At 37.8% G+C, this 15,206-nt stretch overlaps 1 protein-coding gene across 21 annotated transcripts in view, besides 2 other annotated features; it reads right to left on the reverse strand.

The window, feature by feature from the left end:
• WDSUB1 (WD repeat, sterile alpha motif and U-box domain containing 1) overlaps positions 1-15,206 on the reverse strand; it is a 50,906-nt gene that overhangs the window by 23,591 nt on the left and 12,109 nt on the right. For 13 of the 21 annotated variants that reach the window (XR_001738650.3, XR_007069663.1, NM_001330279.2 and 10 more), the window contains 2 exons: positions 12,314-12,407; positions 422-455 (listed from right to left, as the gene is read on the reverse strand). The exons of 7 other annotated variants lie outside the window; for them this stretch is intronic. Coding sequence is in view for 12 of the 14 variants with exons in the window: in NM_001330279.2 (NP_001317208.1) it covers positions 422-455; positions 12,314-12,407 (128 nt within the window). In the remaining 2 variants the exon portion in view is untranslated. The remainder of the gene's footprint in view (positions 1-421; positions 456-12,313; positions 12,408-15,206) is intronic. One more of the 21 variants, NM_001330280.2, reaches the window with a different exon arrangement.
• Positions 12,298-12,799: an enhancer, noted in NCBI's record as "H3K27ac hESC enhancer chr2:160128197-160128698 (GRCh37/hg19 assembly coordinates)". NCBI's record gives its function as "activates a minimal SCP1, AML or CMV promoter by ChIP-STARR-seq in naive H9 embryonic stem cells {active_cell/tissue: H9 hESC(naive)}" and the evidence as "EXISTENCE:reporter gene assay evidence [ECO:0000049][PMID:30033119]".
• Positions 12,800-13,299: an enhancer, noted in NCBI's record as "H3K27ac hESC enhancer chr2:160128699-160129198 (GRCh37/hg19 assembly coordinates)". NCBI's record gives its function as "activates a minimal SCP1, AML or CMV promoter by ChIP-STARR-seq in naive H9 embryonic stem cells {active_cell/tissue: H9 hESC(naive)}" and the evidence as "EXISTENCE:reporter gene assay evidence [ECO:0000049][PMID:30033119]".

Genomic DNA, 15,206 nt, shown 5'->3' on the forward strand with positions numbered 1-15,206 from the left:
CTATCCTTTCTTATGCCTCTCCCTAAATCCAGCCAGGACTCTAAGAATGGTAGGTCACTTTCAACCATATTCACCAAAAACCCTAGGGTAAACATTCATCCTTTGCTATTATGGAAGCCTGGTGTAAAAGTTTAATAATTGATTGTATGTGATGTTTTGAACACTGGTGCTCTTTAAATATGTATAGTTTATGATCACATTTAAAATCTATCCATCTTAAAATCATTACTGAAATATTTAAGGGCTTGTTGCAGAACCAATATCTTACTTGCGTAACTATTTTAGCATTTGTGAAAATATTTATGTTCTTAGTCATACTAAACAGAAAAAATATATACTTTTTCTACCAGGCCTAACTTGAAGTTCAGTAGTCTAATAAACATAACTTTCATAGATCACCACAAGATTTTTAAATACTTACAGTATCATATACTATGACAGACTTATCCACTGACCTTAAAAGAAAATAAATTATAGGTGAAAAGTTCTATAAAAACAAAGTACAGCATTTATGTAATTAGTATTTTTAAGTAATTTTAGTAACTTTTCTAGAAAAGACAGATATTAACATACATTTAGAATGCAATCCTTTTGTTCATATGCATGAAAACTTTAATTCAAAAAACTACACGTGGCCAGGCGCAGCGGCTCACGCCTGTAATCCCAGCACTTTGGGAGGTTGATTCGAGCGGATCATGAGGTCAGGAGTTTGAGACCAGCCTGGCCAACATGGTGAAACCCATGTCTACTAAAAATACAGAAAAAAATTATCCGGGCATGGTGGCGTGCACCTGTAATCCCATCTCCTTGGTAAGCTGAGGCAAGAGGATGGCCTGAACCTGGGAGGTGGAGGTTACAATGAGCCAAGATCATGCCACTGTACTCCAGCCTGGGTGGCAAAGTGAGACTCTATCTCAAAAAAAACAACATGCCATATATAAAATTTAGAAAATTATAAGCTTTATTAAAACAATAGTATATACTATTTACGCTACATGACCATGAACAGAACAAGCATCTCTGATATATAAATAAAACACGACTCTATAACAAGTTAGTAACTGAATGGGAAAAACCACAAGGAAAAGCTATTATTTGCTACTTGGTTTTGTTTCAGATAGCACTATTCTTTACCATTGATAAGGCGTGCCTTAAATGCTAATCAATGTATATATGTTTTGATTATGATCCATTTTTGAAAATTATAATTCTAAACTTGATGTTGACTACATGATTCCTTGTAATGGTATAAAAATTAAAAGCAGACATCTGGGGTTATGCTAGCAAAGAAAAAGAACATCACACACACAAAAATACAACATTATAACAAAATGAGTAATTTAAAACAATGGATAAATATGCCTCTATCTGGCATTTCTACCCCCCTTGGAAACAGGCTTTTATGCCAGAACAATATACACTACAAGGTGAAAAAACATCTGCAATACAAGTGGTACCACACTCTGCAGAACATTAATATTTGTACTTATTAAGGGAGCTGATCACAGTCTGACCACAGGATTCACACCTATTAGCTTAAAATTCCTTGTTCAGTAGACCCTCCAATGTTGATGATGGATACTGACTACAGAATCTTTGTCATAAGTTCAAAATAGAAATTATACTTTAAAAGTTCAAAGATATAAAATAAAACACAAGAACTTGGGAAGCATATACTGTCAGCCCTCCATATCCACAGGTTTCCTATCTGTGAATTCAACCATGAATCAAAATATTCAAGAAAAACATAATAAATTGAAATAGGAAAAAAATAACAAAAAATAATACAAATAAAAATACTGCAAAACTATTTACATAGCCCTTACATTGTATTAGGTATTATAAGTAATCTAGAGATGATTTAAAGTATATGGATAATGTGTGTAGGTTACATGCAAATATCACACCATTTTATATAAGGGACTTGAGCATCCACAGGTTTTGGTATCCAAGGTAGCAGTCCTGGACCCAATCCCCTGCAGATACCAACGGATAACTGTAATGCATTCCAGATGCAAAAAGAATTATAGCTTTCAATGTTAAACTGCATCCAAAATACAGTGAGAAATAGTATTGACAGCTAACACTACGTGAGTATGTATGTGATGGACATAATTTACAGACACTTTTATTTAATCCTAAGTTCTTCAAGGTACAAGTTCTTATTTGTGAAATATCTGAAATTCTTAGGCCAAATTCTGCTATTTTGAGCATCCTTAAAACACACACACAACTAAAGAGTGATGTCAGCAAGATGGCAGAGTATAACTTCCCATGCTTGTCCCCTCACAGGGACATCAATTTGAAAAAGTATCCACACACACACAAAAATACTTTCATAACAGCTAAGAAAACCAGGTCTCCAGCTATAGCTACATGGCTGGGGGTCAGGAGCATGTTAAATATTACTTTTCAAGATTATATGATGAGATGAAAGGAAAACTGGTCAACTGAAACTCATATATATATATATATATATATATATATATATATATATATATATATATATTTTTTTTTTTTTTTTTTTTTTTTTTTTTTTTTAAATAAATGAACTGGTCATTGGGTGAACTGGCTTTTGGTTAATTGACCTAGAGCCCAGTTCTGCTTAAGCCTGACTTTTCTAAAGGGATAATTAGCCAAAATTTCATCTGGAGCTGGCTAGAGCCCAGCCATGCTAAGCTTACAAAGAAAATGGTTCTCTCATCTGGCCCCCATTACACTGTCTCAAATAAAATCCTCATTGGTACCACAAATCAAAAACAAAACCCCAAAATTAAAAAGAAATCCCACTTTCCTAGACTACCACCAGAGACAATTCAAACCAACTCATCACTTAATAAGCAGGATTATCCTTAGTGATCTCTATGAGCATTGGATTGGGAAGACAGAAATCAGTGCGACAGGCAAGAGTCCACATATGGGAACGGCAAGCAGTAAGGCTGAAAACACAGCCCCGAACAAAAATACAAAGCACCCTGAGTGTCTGCCCAAGGAATCTGGACGATTTCACAGGCCACAGCTAGCCATGAGGGCAGTGGAATAAGTTCACTTGCTGATGAGGTATAAAAAGGAATTTGAGAAGCGCAAGGCCAAACATGAATAAACCAGTAGGAGACCACTGAATCCATGGAAAAAAAAACAAAAAACGAAAATTATAAACACATGAACAGACCTGCAGGCTCTGGAAGAAAGGATTTTAAACTCACTTCCTATTGCCTTTAGTTTAACTAATGATGATTCCAAGGAAGATGCAATAGGATTTGATAATTCATTAGATTTTGAGGAAGGTAAATTAGGGTTAGGGAAAAATAACAGAAGTTTTCAATATTTTGAGATTTGAGTTTGAGAGATCAGGAGAATAAAAGCCAACTTACATAGACACAAAATAGTTTGAAACTACTGAAGCAATAAAAACCCTCAAAATATTCCCTAAATTGAAGCCAAATCAACAACCACTAAACAAAAAATCCAACTGTTTGGTGTCCCTGGTTATGTATTTTCTTCCTGCTATAGTTCCTCCCCCAAATTTTCAGTACATACATTCTGCCACAATCTGCCCTGTCATCTTTCCCCCAGTTTCCTCATGAGGCAGGTATTCAACCTTTTGATACTCCATTCCTACAGTTTTGTGGTGCTCTAAAACCTCAGCTCTGCTCACTCAAGAATACAAGAGAAACCCGTCAATTATATCTAGACAGCTACTGGACAACATCAACAACACATAGCTATGTGCTTGACATGGACGTGGTGTAATCACAGACTCCTCGAGATCCGTGACATCGCAGTGACCCATCTCAAAACTAACTTTGTACAATGGCCAAAAAACTAATCAAATACAATCACTAGCAATTATTTCCTGAGCCCAAGTATGTTGCTAACATTTAAAGATTTTACACTTCAGTATTTTAATTTTAAATGTATTTATGTTTCTTCTCATTTAGAAAGGATTTGCAGTCTCTTACAAAGATAGAGCAAAAACAAAAGTTATGTGAAGAACCTGAAGGGGAAGAGAACGTAAGAATGAGGTGAGGGGAGAGAATGAAGGTGAAGATTAATATAGATTAATATCAAAAACACGTGTCATAGGTCCTGTCCACTTTGCCAAAGAAAGGTTGCAAGTTTGATTCTGAGCTTCTTCAGTAGCAATGCAAAAAGGAAATATGACCAGTTATGCAATGTAAAATAGAAACACAAACCCAATGCTTGGGGAAAAAGGACATGAAGCCCTCAGACTGAGACCTGACAGGACCACTTTCCCCAAGGCCTTTAGAGGAGGATGCTATGAAACATAAACCGAGTCCTCAACAACTCTTCCTGAATGAAAATAAGTTTCAAAGAGCTGTTCTGTAATGCTGCTTACTGTAAGCTAATGGCTAATAGCTCAATTCAGAAAAATGGGGTAAAATACGTTATATAATTGGTGTTCTGGATTACATAAATTATATCTATTATTTTATGTACTATTTAATATATATGTATTGAGCAGTGATGTCCCAAACATAATAAATGCTTTATCTGCATTTTCTTAATCTTCATAACAATGTTATGAGGAAAGTGCTATTACATTCTCCATTTTATAGTCAGAACATGAAGCTGGGAGAAGACACGGAACCAGAACTTGTTCAAGGTCCTGCAGCTAGTTAAGTGGCAAGGCTGGGGTTAAAACCCAGTTCTGTGTAATTCTAAAACCCATGTTTTTTAATATTATGCTTGCTAAAATATCTTCCCCCAATGTATCAAAATTGATTCAACACAGGCACATACTCTGATGATTTCAGCCTAAAAACTTGAAAAGTGATGGTGTGGCTATTCAAATTTCACTAAAGCTCTCAGAAGACATCTACTTTCAAGCAATCTAGCATCTGATAACCCTCCGTGATACACAGATGGCAACGTGTCCTTTTCAGTTACTAAATGAACTTACTTGTTCAACAGGACTGTTAGCAATATTGTAGAGAAAAAACATGATTTGCATTTTGGGAAAGATAACGTTAAGCCTTCTTCAGCTAGTCATTGCTGAGCAAGAGGGGGCTGTTCATGAAAGCACTCCTAACTCGTGACAATAAACTCTATCATTTACTTACAAAATAGATAAAATATAAACAACTGTCTTGTTGGGGAGAGGAGAAACCTATTTCCCACCCCTTCTGGGGTAAGATTCTTGGCCTCTTTCCTCCCTCTCATGCCTAGCGGAAAATAAATGACAAATAACTGGAGAGTGTGGGGCAAGCGCTGGGCCATGGAGCTGAGCCCCTTCTGGATTTTCTCTTTTTTCTGATCTGCACTGGCAGGGGAAGACTGCAGTGGTCCATGCTGCCCAAGAGCAGGTGGGCAAGTGGGTTGCCGATCAAAAGTCATGTTACCCAGTCCCGTATTGCCCTCTCATTGGTTTTCAACTCAAGAAAAGGAAAAGGGCCAGGCGCAGTGGTTCACATTTCTAATCACAGCACTTTGGGAGGCTGAGGTAGGCGGATCACCTGAGGTCAGGAGTTCGAGACCAGCCTGGCCAACATGGTGAAACCCTGTCTCTACTAAAAATACAAAAATTAGCCAGGCATGGTCGCGGGCACCTGTAATCCCAGCTACTTGGGAGGCTGACGCAGGAGAAGCACTTGAACCTGGAAGGCAGAGGTTGCAGTGAGCTGAGATCGCGCCATTGCAGTCCAGACTGGGTAACAAGAGCGAAACTCCATCTCAAAAAAAAAAAAAAATAAAACAACAACAACAACAACAACAAAAAAAAACAACTCCTAACTGGCTGGGCCTGGTTGCACACACCTATAGTTCCAGCTACTTGAGAGGCTGAAGTGGGATGACTGTTTGAGCCCAGGAAGTCAAGGCTCCAGTGAGCCACTCCAGCCTGGGTAATGGAGTGAGGCCTTATCTCTAAAGCAAGCACACACACCACACACACACACACACACACACACTCACTCTCTCTCTTTTCTTCCTGTCTCTCACACACAACTGTGGGCATTTTAAAAACTCATTTCCAAGGAATCCTAAACTCTGAGACCTTCTGGAAACAGGCAGACTTTATTTGAATTACAAAGACTGACCCGGCTAGGTGTGGTGACTCATGCCTGTAATCCCAACACTTTGGGAGGCCAAGGTGGGAGGATCACTTGAGCCCAGGAATGAGATCCCTGACTCTACAAAAAATACAAAACTTAGCCAAGCATGGTGGCCTGCAAGTGTAGTCCCAGCTACTCAGGAGACTGAGGTGGGAGGATCACTTGAGGCCAGGAGGTCAGGGCTGCAGTAAGCCATGATAGTGCCATCACACTCCAGCCTGGGTGACAGAGGAGACCCTGTCCCAAAAAAAAGACTGACTCTTCCTGTTTTAACAGCGGCTGATATATATAATGTTTGTTGTATCTGGCTAGATCAAGAGAAGTAGGGTGGAACAAAAGACAAATTCTGCTAAGGGGCTGGAGCAAAGTTATTAGGGGACAGAAGTGGAGAAAGACCAAGGGAAAAACCTCTTGCGTATTTTGCTACAGGACCTGTAACGCCATCACAGCTCTGAGGGCTGGTGGAATATGTGAAGCAGATGTGAAAATCCAGCTGTCTTCTGCTATGCCAGACATTAAAAAGATCTTCAAAAATGTAGAACAATGCCACTCTTTTCACTATTTATTTTTTCCTCAAAAAGCTAATATGCAATAATCTATTGCTTTTAAATGAATTTAAAATATTTCAGAATATTCTCGATTGTATTTTCTAGTATTATAAATAGTGATAGATGTAACCCATATAAGCAAAAGCTCTTTAGGGTAATAACTTTTAAGAGTGTCAAGGAACCTTACTTTTTTTTTGAGACAGAGTCTTGCTCTGTCGCCCAGGCTGGAGTGTGGTGGCACGATCTGGACTCACCGCAAGCACCGCCTCCCGGGTTCACGCCACTCTCCTGCCTCAGCCTCCCGAGTAGCTGGGACTACAGGCACCCGCCACAACGCCCGGCTAATTTTTTGTATTTTTAGTACAGATGGGGTTTCACCATGTTAGCCAGGATGGTCTTGATCTCCTGACCTCATGATCCGCCCGCCTCGGCCTCCCAAAGTGCTGGGATTACAGGCGTGAGCCACCGCGCCTGGCCAAGGAATCTTACTTTTAAGAATGTGAAGGAATCTTAAGACCAAAAAGTATAAGAACCACTGACCTAAATCATGATTCAATTCTTCACTTCTCTATTCTGACCTATAACCGCATTCTGTTGTCCATTCACTTTTCATCTCTAGCCACTTATATTCATCTCTAGACACTAGTCTCCTATAGCTAGGCTTTGCATGTTAGAATTGCTTTAGAAGTTTCAGAAGTTCTCCTAAATTTAATATATAAGGTTTGAACAAGTTCTAACACCATCCTAGGTTCTCAGGGGTTTTTTTGTTGTTTTTTGTTTTGAGTCAGGGTTTCACTCTGTTGCCTAGGCTGGAGTTTAGTGGCACGATTGTGGCTCACTGCAGCCTCCACTGCCTAGGCTCAAGCGATCCTCCCACCTCAGCCTCCTGAGGAGCTAGGACCACAGGTGCAAGCCACCATGCTTGGGTAACTTTTTATTATTTGTAGAGACCAGGTCTTCCTATGTTGCCCAGGCTGGTCTCAAACTCCTGGGCGCAAGTGATCCTCCTGCCTCAGCCTCCCAAAGTGGTGGGATTACAGGCATGAGCCACCATGCCCGGTCCATCCTAGGTTCTCTGTTATCTCTACAATCTGTTTTTCTGGCCTCATTTCTCCTTATTTATTTGAATGTTTATTATACATTTTGATCTACTCAAGAATTTCCTGCCTCCTGGAATGCTCTTTCTGTTCCTCAATCTTCCCATATCTGCATAGAAATTCTATACTGCCTTTTCCAAGGCCACCCCTATCTATGCCATACACACCTTCATTAGTACACCTCTTTTTTCTTTCTTTTTTTTTTTTTAAAGAGACAAGTTCTGACTTTGTTGCCCAGGCTGGAGTGCAGTGGCATGATCATAGGTTGCTGCAGCCTCAAACTCCTGGGCTCAGGGGATTCTCCTGCCTCAGCCTCCCAAGTAGCTGAGACTACAGGCACACACCCCTATGCCCAGCTAATTTCTTTAATTTTTTTTTGTAGGGACTGGGTCTCACTGTGTTGTCCAGGCTGGTCTCAAACTCCTGGCCTCAAGTGATCCTTCTGCTTTGACCTCTCAAAGTGTTGGAATAACAGGCATGAGCTCCACACCCAGCCCTTAGTACACAATACTGACCTACAACCACATTCTGCTGTCCATTCACTTTTCATCTCTAGCCACTTATATTCATATACAGCCTCGTTTTATCCTACTCACTTTTTTTAGTCTCCCTCTTTCCCATACGTATTCATTCTATCTTATCATTGACTTTTAGTCACAAATAGAATCTATCATTAACTAATTGACCTATTTTTATCTACTAAGTATGATTTAAATATGCCTGTCAATTCTTCTAAAAACTAAATGTTTATTAAGTTTATTAATTTACATTTCTCATTCATTTGCCTGTATATTTGTCCAAATAAACTAGAAATATTCAGAAAAATATTTGAATGTGACCTTGAGCAACACCATATACCCAAAAGCACTTGATAATGTAAACTTCCATTTATCCAGAATGATTGGGAAAGACACATTTCCATAAATACAATGTTAACTAAGACACACATATATACAAACTGGCAAAGAATTATACCGCTATAAAATGAACTTAACACAATATTGAGTATCACTTAACACTTCCTCCATGACTCAGAGGATAAGTACATGTCAGGGTCTTGCAGTGTTATTAGTTCATCACTATGAACATCAACTACTAAATAGAAAAGAGGGGATTTAAAATGTCTTCAAGAGCACAAACACTGTCTTATACTTCCTTTTCTATGCCCTATTCCAACTGGCAGAGAGCTGGGCACATAATCATTCTGTCAGCTAACCTGTCCCCTAACACAGCAGACAGAGTTCAACTTTATTTGTTTAAACTTTCCAATGATTTAAATTCTAGGTCAAAAGACAATTACTATAAATACTTTTTGATGATGAATAATCTTCATCTTTAGAGATCAAACAGCCACATCTACAATAATGACAACAACATAACTAGTAATTTGGCTGTTTGGCAAGAATTGGAGCATATGGAAAAAAAGAACCATCAGCCTTAGTCCAGACATTCTAAATGGAGGTTAGGAGCCTAAATATCTTAGCTGGAATGAAAGTTGCTATGAAGAGCCATAAATGTGGGTCAGAATGCTATGACCTGTGAGATCAGACAGGAAAGTTTTAGAAAATCTAATGGCAAGGAGAAAATATACAAAAGTATTCAAAAGGAAAAGAGTATAAAGTAATTGAATCATGAAACGATGTTCCAGCCCATTGCCTAACAGAATAAAGCTTTGAAAAATAAAAGCCAAGGTTGACAACTTCAACACAGAACTGGAAATCATAAAAAGTGACACCACTGAAAAAAATTGCCAAATAGGAATTCTAGGACCAAAAAATAAAATAAGCAAAATTAAGAATTCAATGGACCAGTTTAATATATTAGCTGAAGAAAGGAAAGGGAAAACCATCCAGAATGAAGCATAGGAAACAGGAAAAAACAAACAAACAAACAAAACAGAAGCATAAATACAAAAGAGAGAATAAAGTTTACAGTGAGGTGTAATGTGCCTTTAATTGGAATCCCAGAATTAGAGGACAGAAAGAAAGGAACAGAGGCAATACTTGAAGAGATAATAAATAAGAATTTTCCAAAAGTGGTAAAATATCTTTCCACAGATTTTTTTTTTTTTTTTTTTTTTTGAGATGGAGTCTTGCTCTGTCACCCAGGCTGGAGTGCAGTGGTGTGATCTCAGCTCACTGCAACCTCCACCTCTTGGGTTCAAGCAACTCTCCTGCCTCAGCCTCCTGAGTAGCTGGAATTACAGGTGCCCACCATCATGCCTGGCTAATTTTTGTATTTTTAGTAGAGATGAGGTTTCACCATGTTAGCCAGGCTGGTCTTGAACTCCTGAGCTCAAGTGATAGGCCTGCCTCTGCCTCCCAAAGTGCTGGGATTACAGGCATGAACCACCACGCCCTGCCCAATATCATTCCAAGGATTTAAGAAGTTCAATGAATTCCAAGCAAACTAAATAGGAAACTCATATGTAGATACAAAGTGGATATGCAAAAACCTCAAAACAGAAAATTTCATGAGCAGCCAGAGAAAAACACATGAATTACATCCAAAGGAACAACAGTTAGAATGAAACTAACTTTTCTATAGCAATACACAACAATAATATACCCTAAAATTTGTTTGTTCCAACAAAGCAAGGTTGGTTTAACATTTAAAAATCTTGTAATTCACTCCACTAACAGAGTAACAGAGAAAAATTGTATCATCTCAAAGATGTAGGAAAAATCATCTGATGAAATACAATACCCTTGCATGATTAAAAAAATAACAACAAAACTCTTACAAACTAAAAGGAATAGAAGAATAAAGCTTATCTCCCCAAAACCTACAATGATCATATTGAATAATGAAAGCTTTCCCTCTGCAGTGAGGAATCAGACAAGGCCTGTTATTGCCACTTTTATTATCCTGGTAGTATCAACAGTTCAGTAAGGCACAGAAGATACCAAAGATATAAGGATTAGAAAGGAAGGAACAAAACCATCATTATCCACAAATGATCTGATTTCATATACATATAATCCAAAATAAGAAATTTCCTAGGTAAGTCCAATTTATTTCCATTATATATTTCCTTATATTGGCCACATCTTTTATATACTAACAAGTGCCTAGAAAGAAGGCTAATAAAAGATGAGAACTTCTACACAGAAGACAATTATTGAAATTCAAAGATAAATAAATGAAGAAATATGCAACATTCTCAGATTACAAGACCAATATCATAAAGATGTCAATTCTCCCCAAATTCATCAGACTCTATATAATCCTAATTAAAACCCAAACAGGTTTGTGTGTGTGGAGACAGGAATTGGGGCAATTTAACAAGTTGATTCTAAAATTTACATGAAAATGTCAATAGCTAGGAATAGACAAAATATAAAGCCTGGGAGAGACAGAATGATATTAGAGCAAGGACAGAAACAGAACAAAATAGCAGAAACAGTAGTTAAGAAACAGACTCACAAATATATTGTCAGTGATTTCTGACAAGGGAGTACAACAAAATGGAGGAGAAAAGTGGTCTTTTCAATACGTAGTACTAGGACAACTGGATATTCACGTAGAAAGGAATAAAATGGGATTCCTATTGCACATCATACACATTAAGTGTGAAAGGCAAAACAATGAAGGTCTTAGAATATAGGAAAATATCTTCATGACCTCAGAACATAAAGAAGCTGACTACACTAAAATTATAAACTGTGAAAAGGCAAATCTAGAGGCTGGGAAAATATATTTGCAACTAGCAACAAATGGCTCAAATATAAAAATACACACACACACACATACATATATAACAACAAATCAGTAAGAAAAAGATAACCTAGAGAAAAAAATGGGCCGGAGGCATGAACAGGCACTTCATACAAGAGAAAATACATATGGCTAATAAACTTCTGAAAAGGTTCCAACCACTTTGTTCTGGGGAAACGCAAATTAAAACCATAGTAAGGCAACACTACACACTCATCAGAACGGCTAAAATTTTAAACACTCACAATACCAAGTACAGGCTAGGATACAAAACAACACTGCTATAGAAGTATTAATTGTTCAGCCACTTGGAAACTGTTGTTATCTGCCAAAGTTGAAAATGCACGTATTCTATGACTCAGCAAGGCCATTCCTATGTACTTATCTTACAGAAATGCATGAACATGTACACCAGGACATACAATATATTCATAGAATTATTATTGTAATGCCCTCAAACCAGAAACAATCATATAACCATTAACATTAAAATGAACTATTATATATATTATAATGTATCCATGCCATGGAATATTACACAGCAATGAAAATCAAAGGGCCACAGCTCCAGGCAATAATATGAATTAATGTCACAAGTGTAATGTTGGGTACAGGAAGCCTGACAAAATAATTCATATTGCATAATTTGTTTTAGGTCAGTTTTAAAGAAAACAGCAGTAGTGCATATGATCTAACATGTTGTCACCAAAAAGGGGCACTTGCAAGGGGAGGGCTTCTGGGGCAGAACCAGCAATGTTCTATTTCTTGACCTTTGTGGTGGCTCATCAAGCTATTCTTTGAGGTTTCATGTACTTTTCCGTGTGTCTGTTTGATTTCATATAAAAATGGTTTAGGAAAATTAAACCAACTAGCTTACCCTGAGACTAGCATCTGCCCATCATGGGAAAAAGCACAAGCCAGAACAGGAGCACAGTGCCCACTCAGTGTACTTTTATATTTTAATTCAAAACCTGCAAATAACAAGGTAACAGAGATTAGAAAGCTGACCATGCTTAGAATTGATTTTTAAGTCAACACCATTTCACTTATTTATTTAACAAATAATCTTTGAGTGCCTAAAGGACACAAAAATTAAAAATCCTCATGCAGCTCAGATATCTATAAGGAAATAATTGGGATGCAGTGTGATTAACTGGTTTCTGTTGACTAAAGAATAAAGTCAAATTTTTAAAGAATTGAAGTAGCTTTACTCAGAAGTCTTACTGAGGACTACAGACTAAGGCCTATGGCCTGGGAGCTACAGGGCAATCTGTAAGACCACTCCCAAGCAGCGTTTCAGCCCGCTGCGTACATACAGGTGGTAGAGGTTTAGTATGTGCAAAATCACGTCAAACAGAAGTTACATTAAAGCAGAATCACCTCAAGGTCTGGGTTTAAGAGTACATCTGGTTATAGATTTCTAAAGTGCATTCGGTTACGGATTGCAGAAACATGATCACTAACCCCACTGGACGTTATCTCAGGTAAGAAAAGGCAAGGCTGGGCTCATTTATCTTTTAAGGAATGTAGTGACTCAGGGAAGAGACATGGGGGACTCTGTGCTCTCCTCTGTTTTGTCTTCAAGGCATTCCTCCAGAGAGCTGCACATTGTCATAGAGTCGGGGGATTTGTCAAATTATGCTGGCAAGCAGAAAGGAGCAAACATGGCTTCTTGTGTTTGTTACCCTGTCTCACATTTCAAAAGCTCAGTAATGGATTTTAAAAAGCAGTTCAACAAAGGCTAGATGGGGTAATTTCATAACTACCAAAATTTTTAACTTTTAAACTATACCACAATTTTAGTGTCTGATAAAAACAAAATACGCCAATTGCCCAAAAGACTTAAAAAAATGCTTACAATTTTTTAAATCTGGCACTTAAAAATATTTTCTCATCCTGTAAAAAAATACTTTCTCATCCTGTAAATAATCAATGGTAATTTACACATCTTGTAATTCCAATATTATCTTTATAAAATATAACACTCCTACAAAGTATAAAAAGGTATAAAATCCTTTTCATGCTTTTAGAATTACTAAATATAAACATCACAACTACTTTAAAAGTATACTGAGGGAATTCAATATATTTTGGTGACAACCTATAAAAATAAAAAGAAATTGGCAGGGGTTGGGAAAGAAGGAAAAGGAAATACACGAGGGAAATTTATAACTACATCAGACACAATAAAACCTTTTTTGAAGTGTTAAATGTCTTTTAGTGAGGATAACAAGCATTTAACTAAAGAAAAAGGTCATCAGAGTAAGTAAAAGTTTCAAGCTCAAAACAGGAAAAAATATATATTTTTATCTGGGAGAGCAGAGACACACACTAAAGACACCGTGCTAAGTGCTAGAAATACAATGATAAACTTCAAAAGGCTTTAATTCTAACTGGGAACAGAGCAATAAATAGGCATGATTAATCAAACAAAGCAAACATATTAAGTTGCACACCAAATTAAGACTATAAAACTTCAATACAACAATAATAGGTTATGTCCTCAAGTATAAGACCCATATGTCTCTCTACTCCTCCCTACAAATAAGCAAATAATAAGGTACAAATGGTGATAAATGCTTTATGAAAAGATTTTATTTTTATTATTTTTTTTTTGAGAGCATCTCCTTCTGTCACCCAGGCTGGAGTGCGGTGGTACAGTCTCGGCTCACTGCAACCTCCGCCTCCTGGGTTCAAGTGATTCTCCTGACTCAGGCTCCCAAGAAGCTGGGACTACAGGTGTGCACTACCACACCTGGCTAATTTTTGTATTTTTGTCAAGACAGGGTTTCACCATGTTGGCCAGGCTGGTATCAAACTCCTGACCTCAAGTGATCCACCTGCCTCAGCCTCCCAAAGTGCTGGGATTACAGGTGTGAGCCACCACGCCCAGCCTTATGAAAAGTTTTTAACTGCACGTTTATAAACTGTCATGTATGTTTTTGTTAAAAAGTCAGTGTCAACATATTTTCCAGTAAACATGAAAGGCTTTACTTTTGAACAATTACTAAAGGAACATATTTATTTCCCGATAAAAGGTTCTTCTCTATACACTATAAACTAGGATAATTATGAACAACAAAAATACAGTTTGTCATTTAACTGAAGCTTACTAGGTAACAAATAATAATATTCTGAGGCTCCTGAATCAATCAAGATGACCACAAAATTTCAGATTCCCCATGAAAATGTCAAGGAAGGAATTAATAAAAACAGAAATGTACACTGGTAAAGAGAGTGGGAAGAGGGGCATCAGCAAACCAGAAACTGAATCAACTTTGGGGAGGCAGAAAGCACATTAAGTAATGAAGAAGTATAAAAGAATAACAGCCCAGCATACAAAGAGACAGGGGTACAGCCAAGAAAGTTATTCTGCCCTAGAAAACACCCCAAGACTGGCCAAGCGCAGTGGCCCACGCCTGTAATCCCAGCATTTTGAGAGGCCAAGGTGGGAGGATCATTTGAGGCCCGGAGTTCAAGACCATCCTGAGAAACAAACTGAGACACTGTCTCTATAAAAAATTTAAAAATTAGCCAGGGCAAGACCTGAGAGAGGAGATGGAGAGGGTAGGAAGAAAATACCTCAAGGTTCCAGAATATCAATAGCCAGGAAAAAGGAAAATTAGAATGACACAGACATAGACCTGAAAAGAGAAAAATGAACTGACTGACTGTATACAGACCATTCAGTGTCTACCTCCAATCTCTCCCCAACTTCACCCTTAGTATGCTGCACAAAAGCCAAGCATTTATCCCTGGCGAAACCTTTC

Source organism: Homo sapiens, chromosome 2 (assembly GCF_000001405.40).
Source record: "Homo sapiens chromosome 2, GRCh38.p14 Primary Assembly".
NCBI lineage: Eukaryota > Metazoa > Chordata > Mammalia > Primates > Hominidae > Homo > Homo sapiens.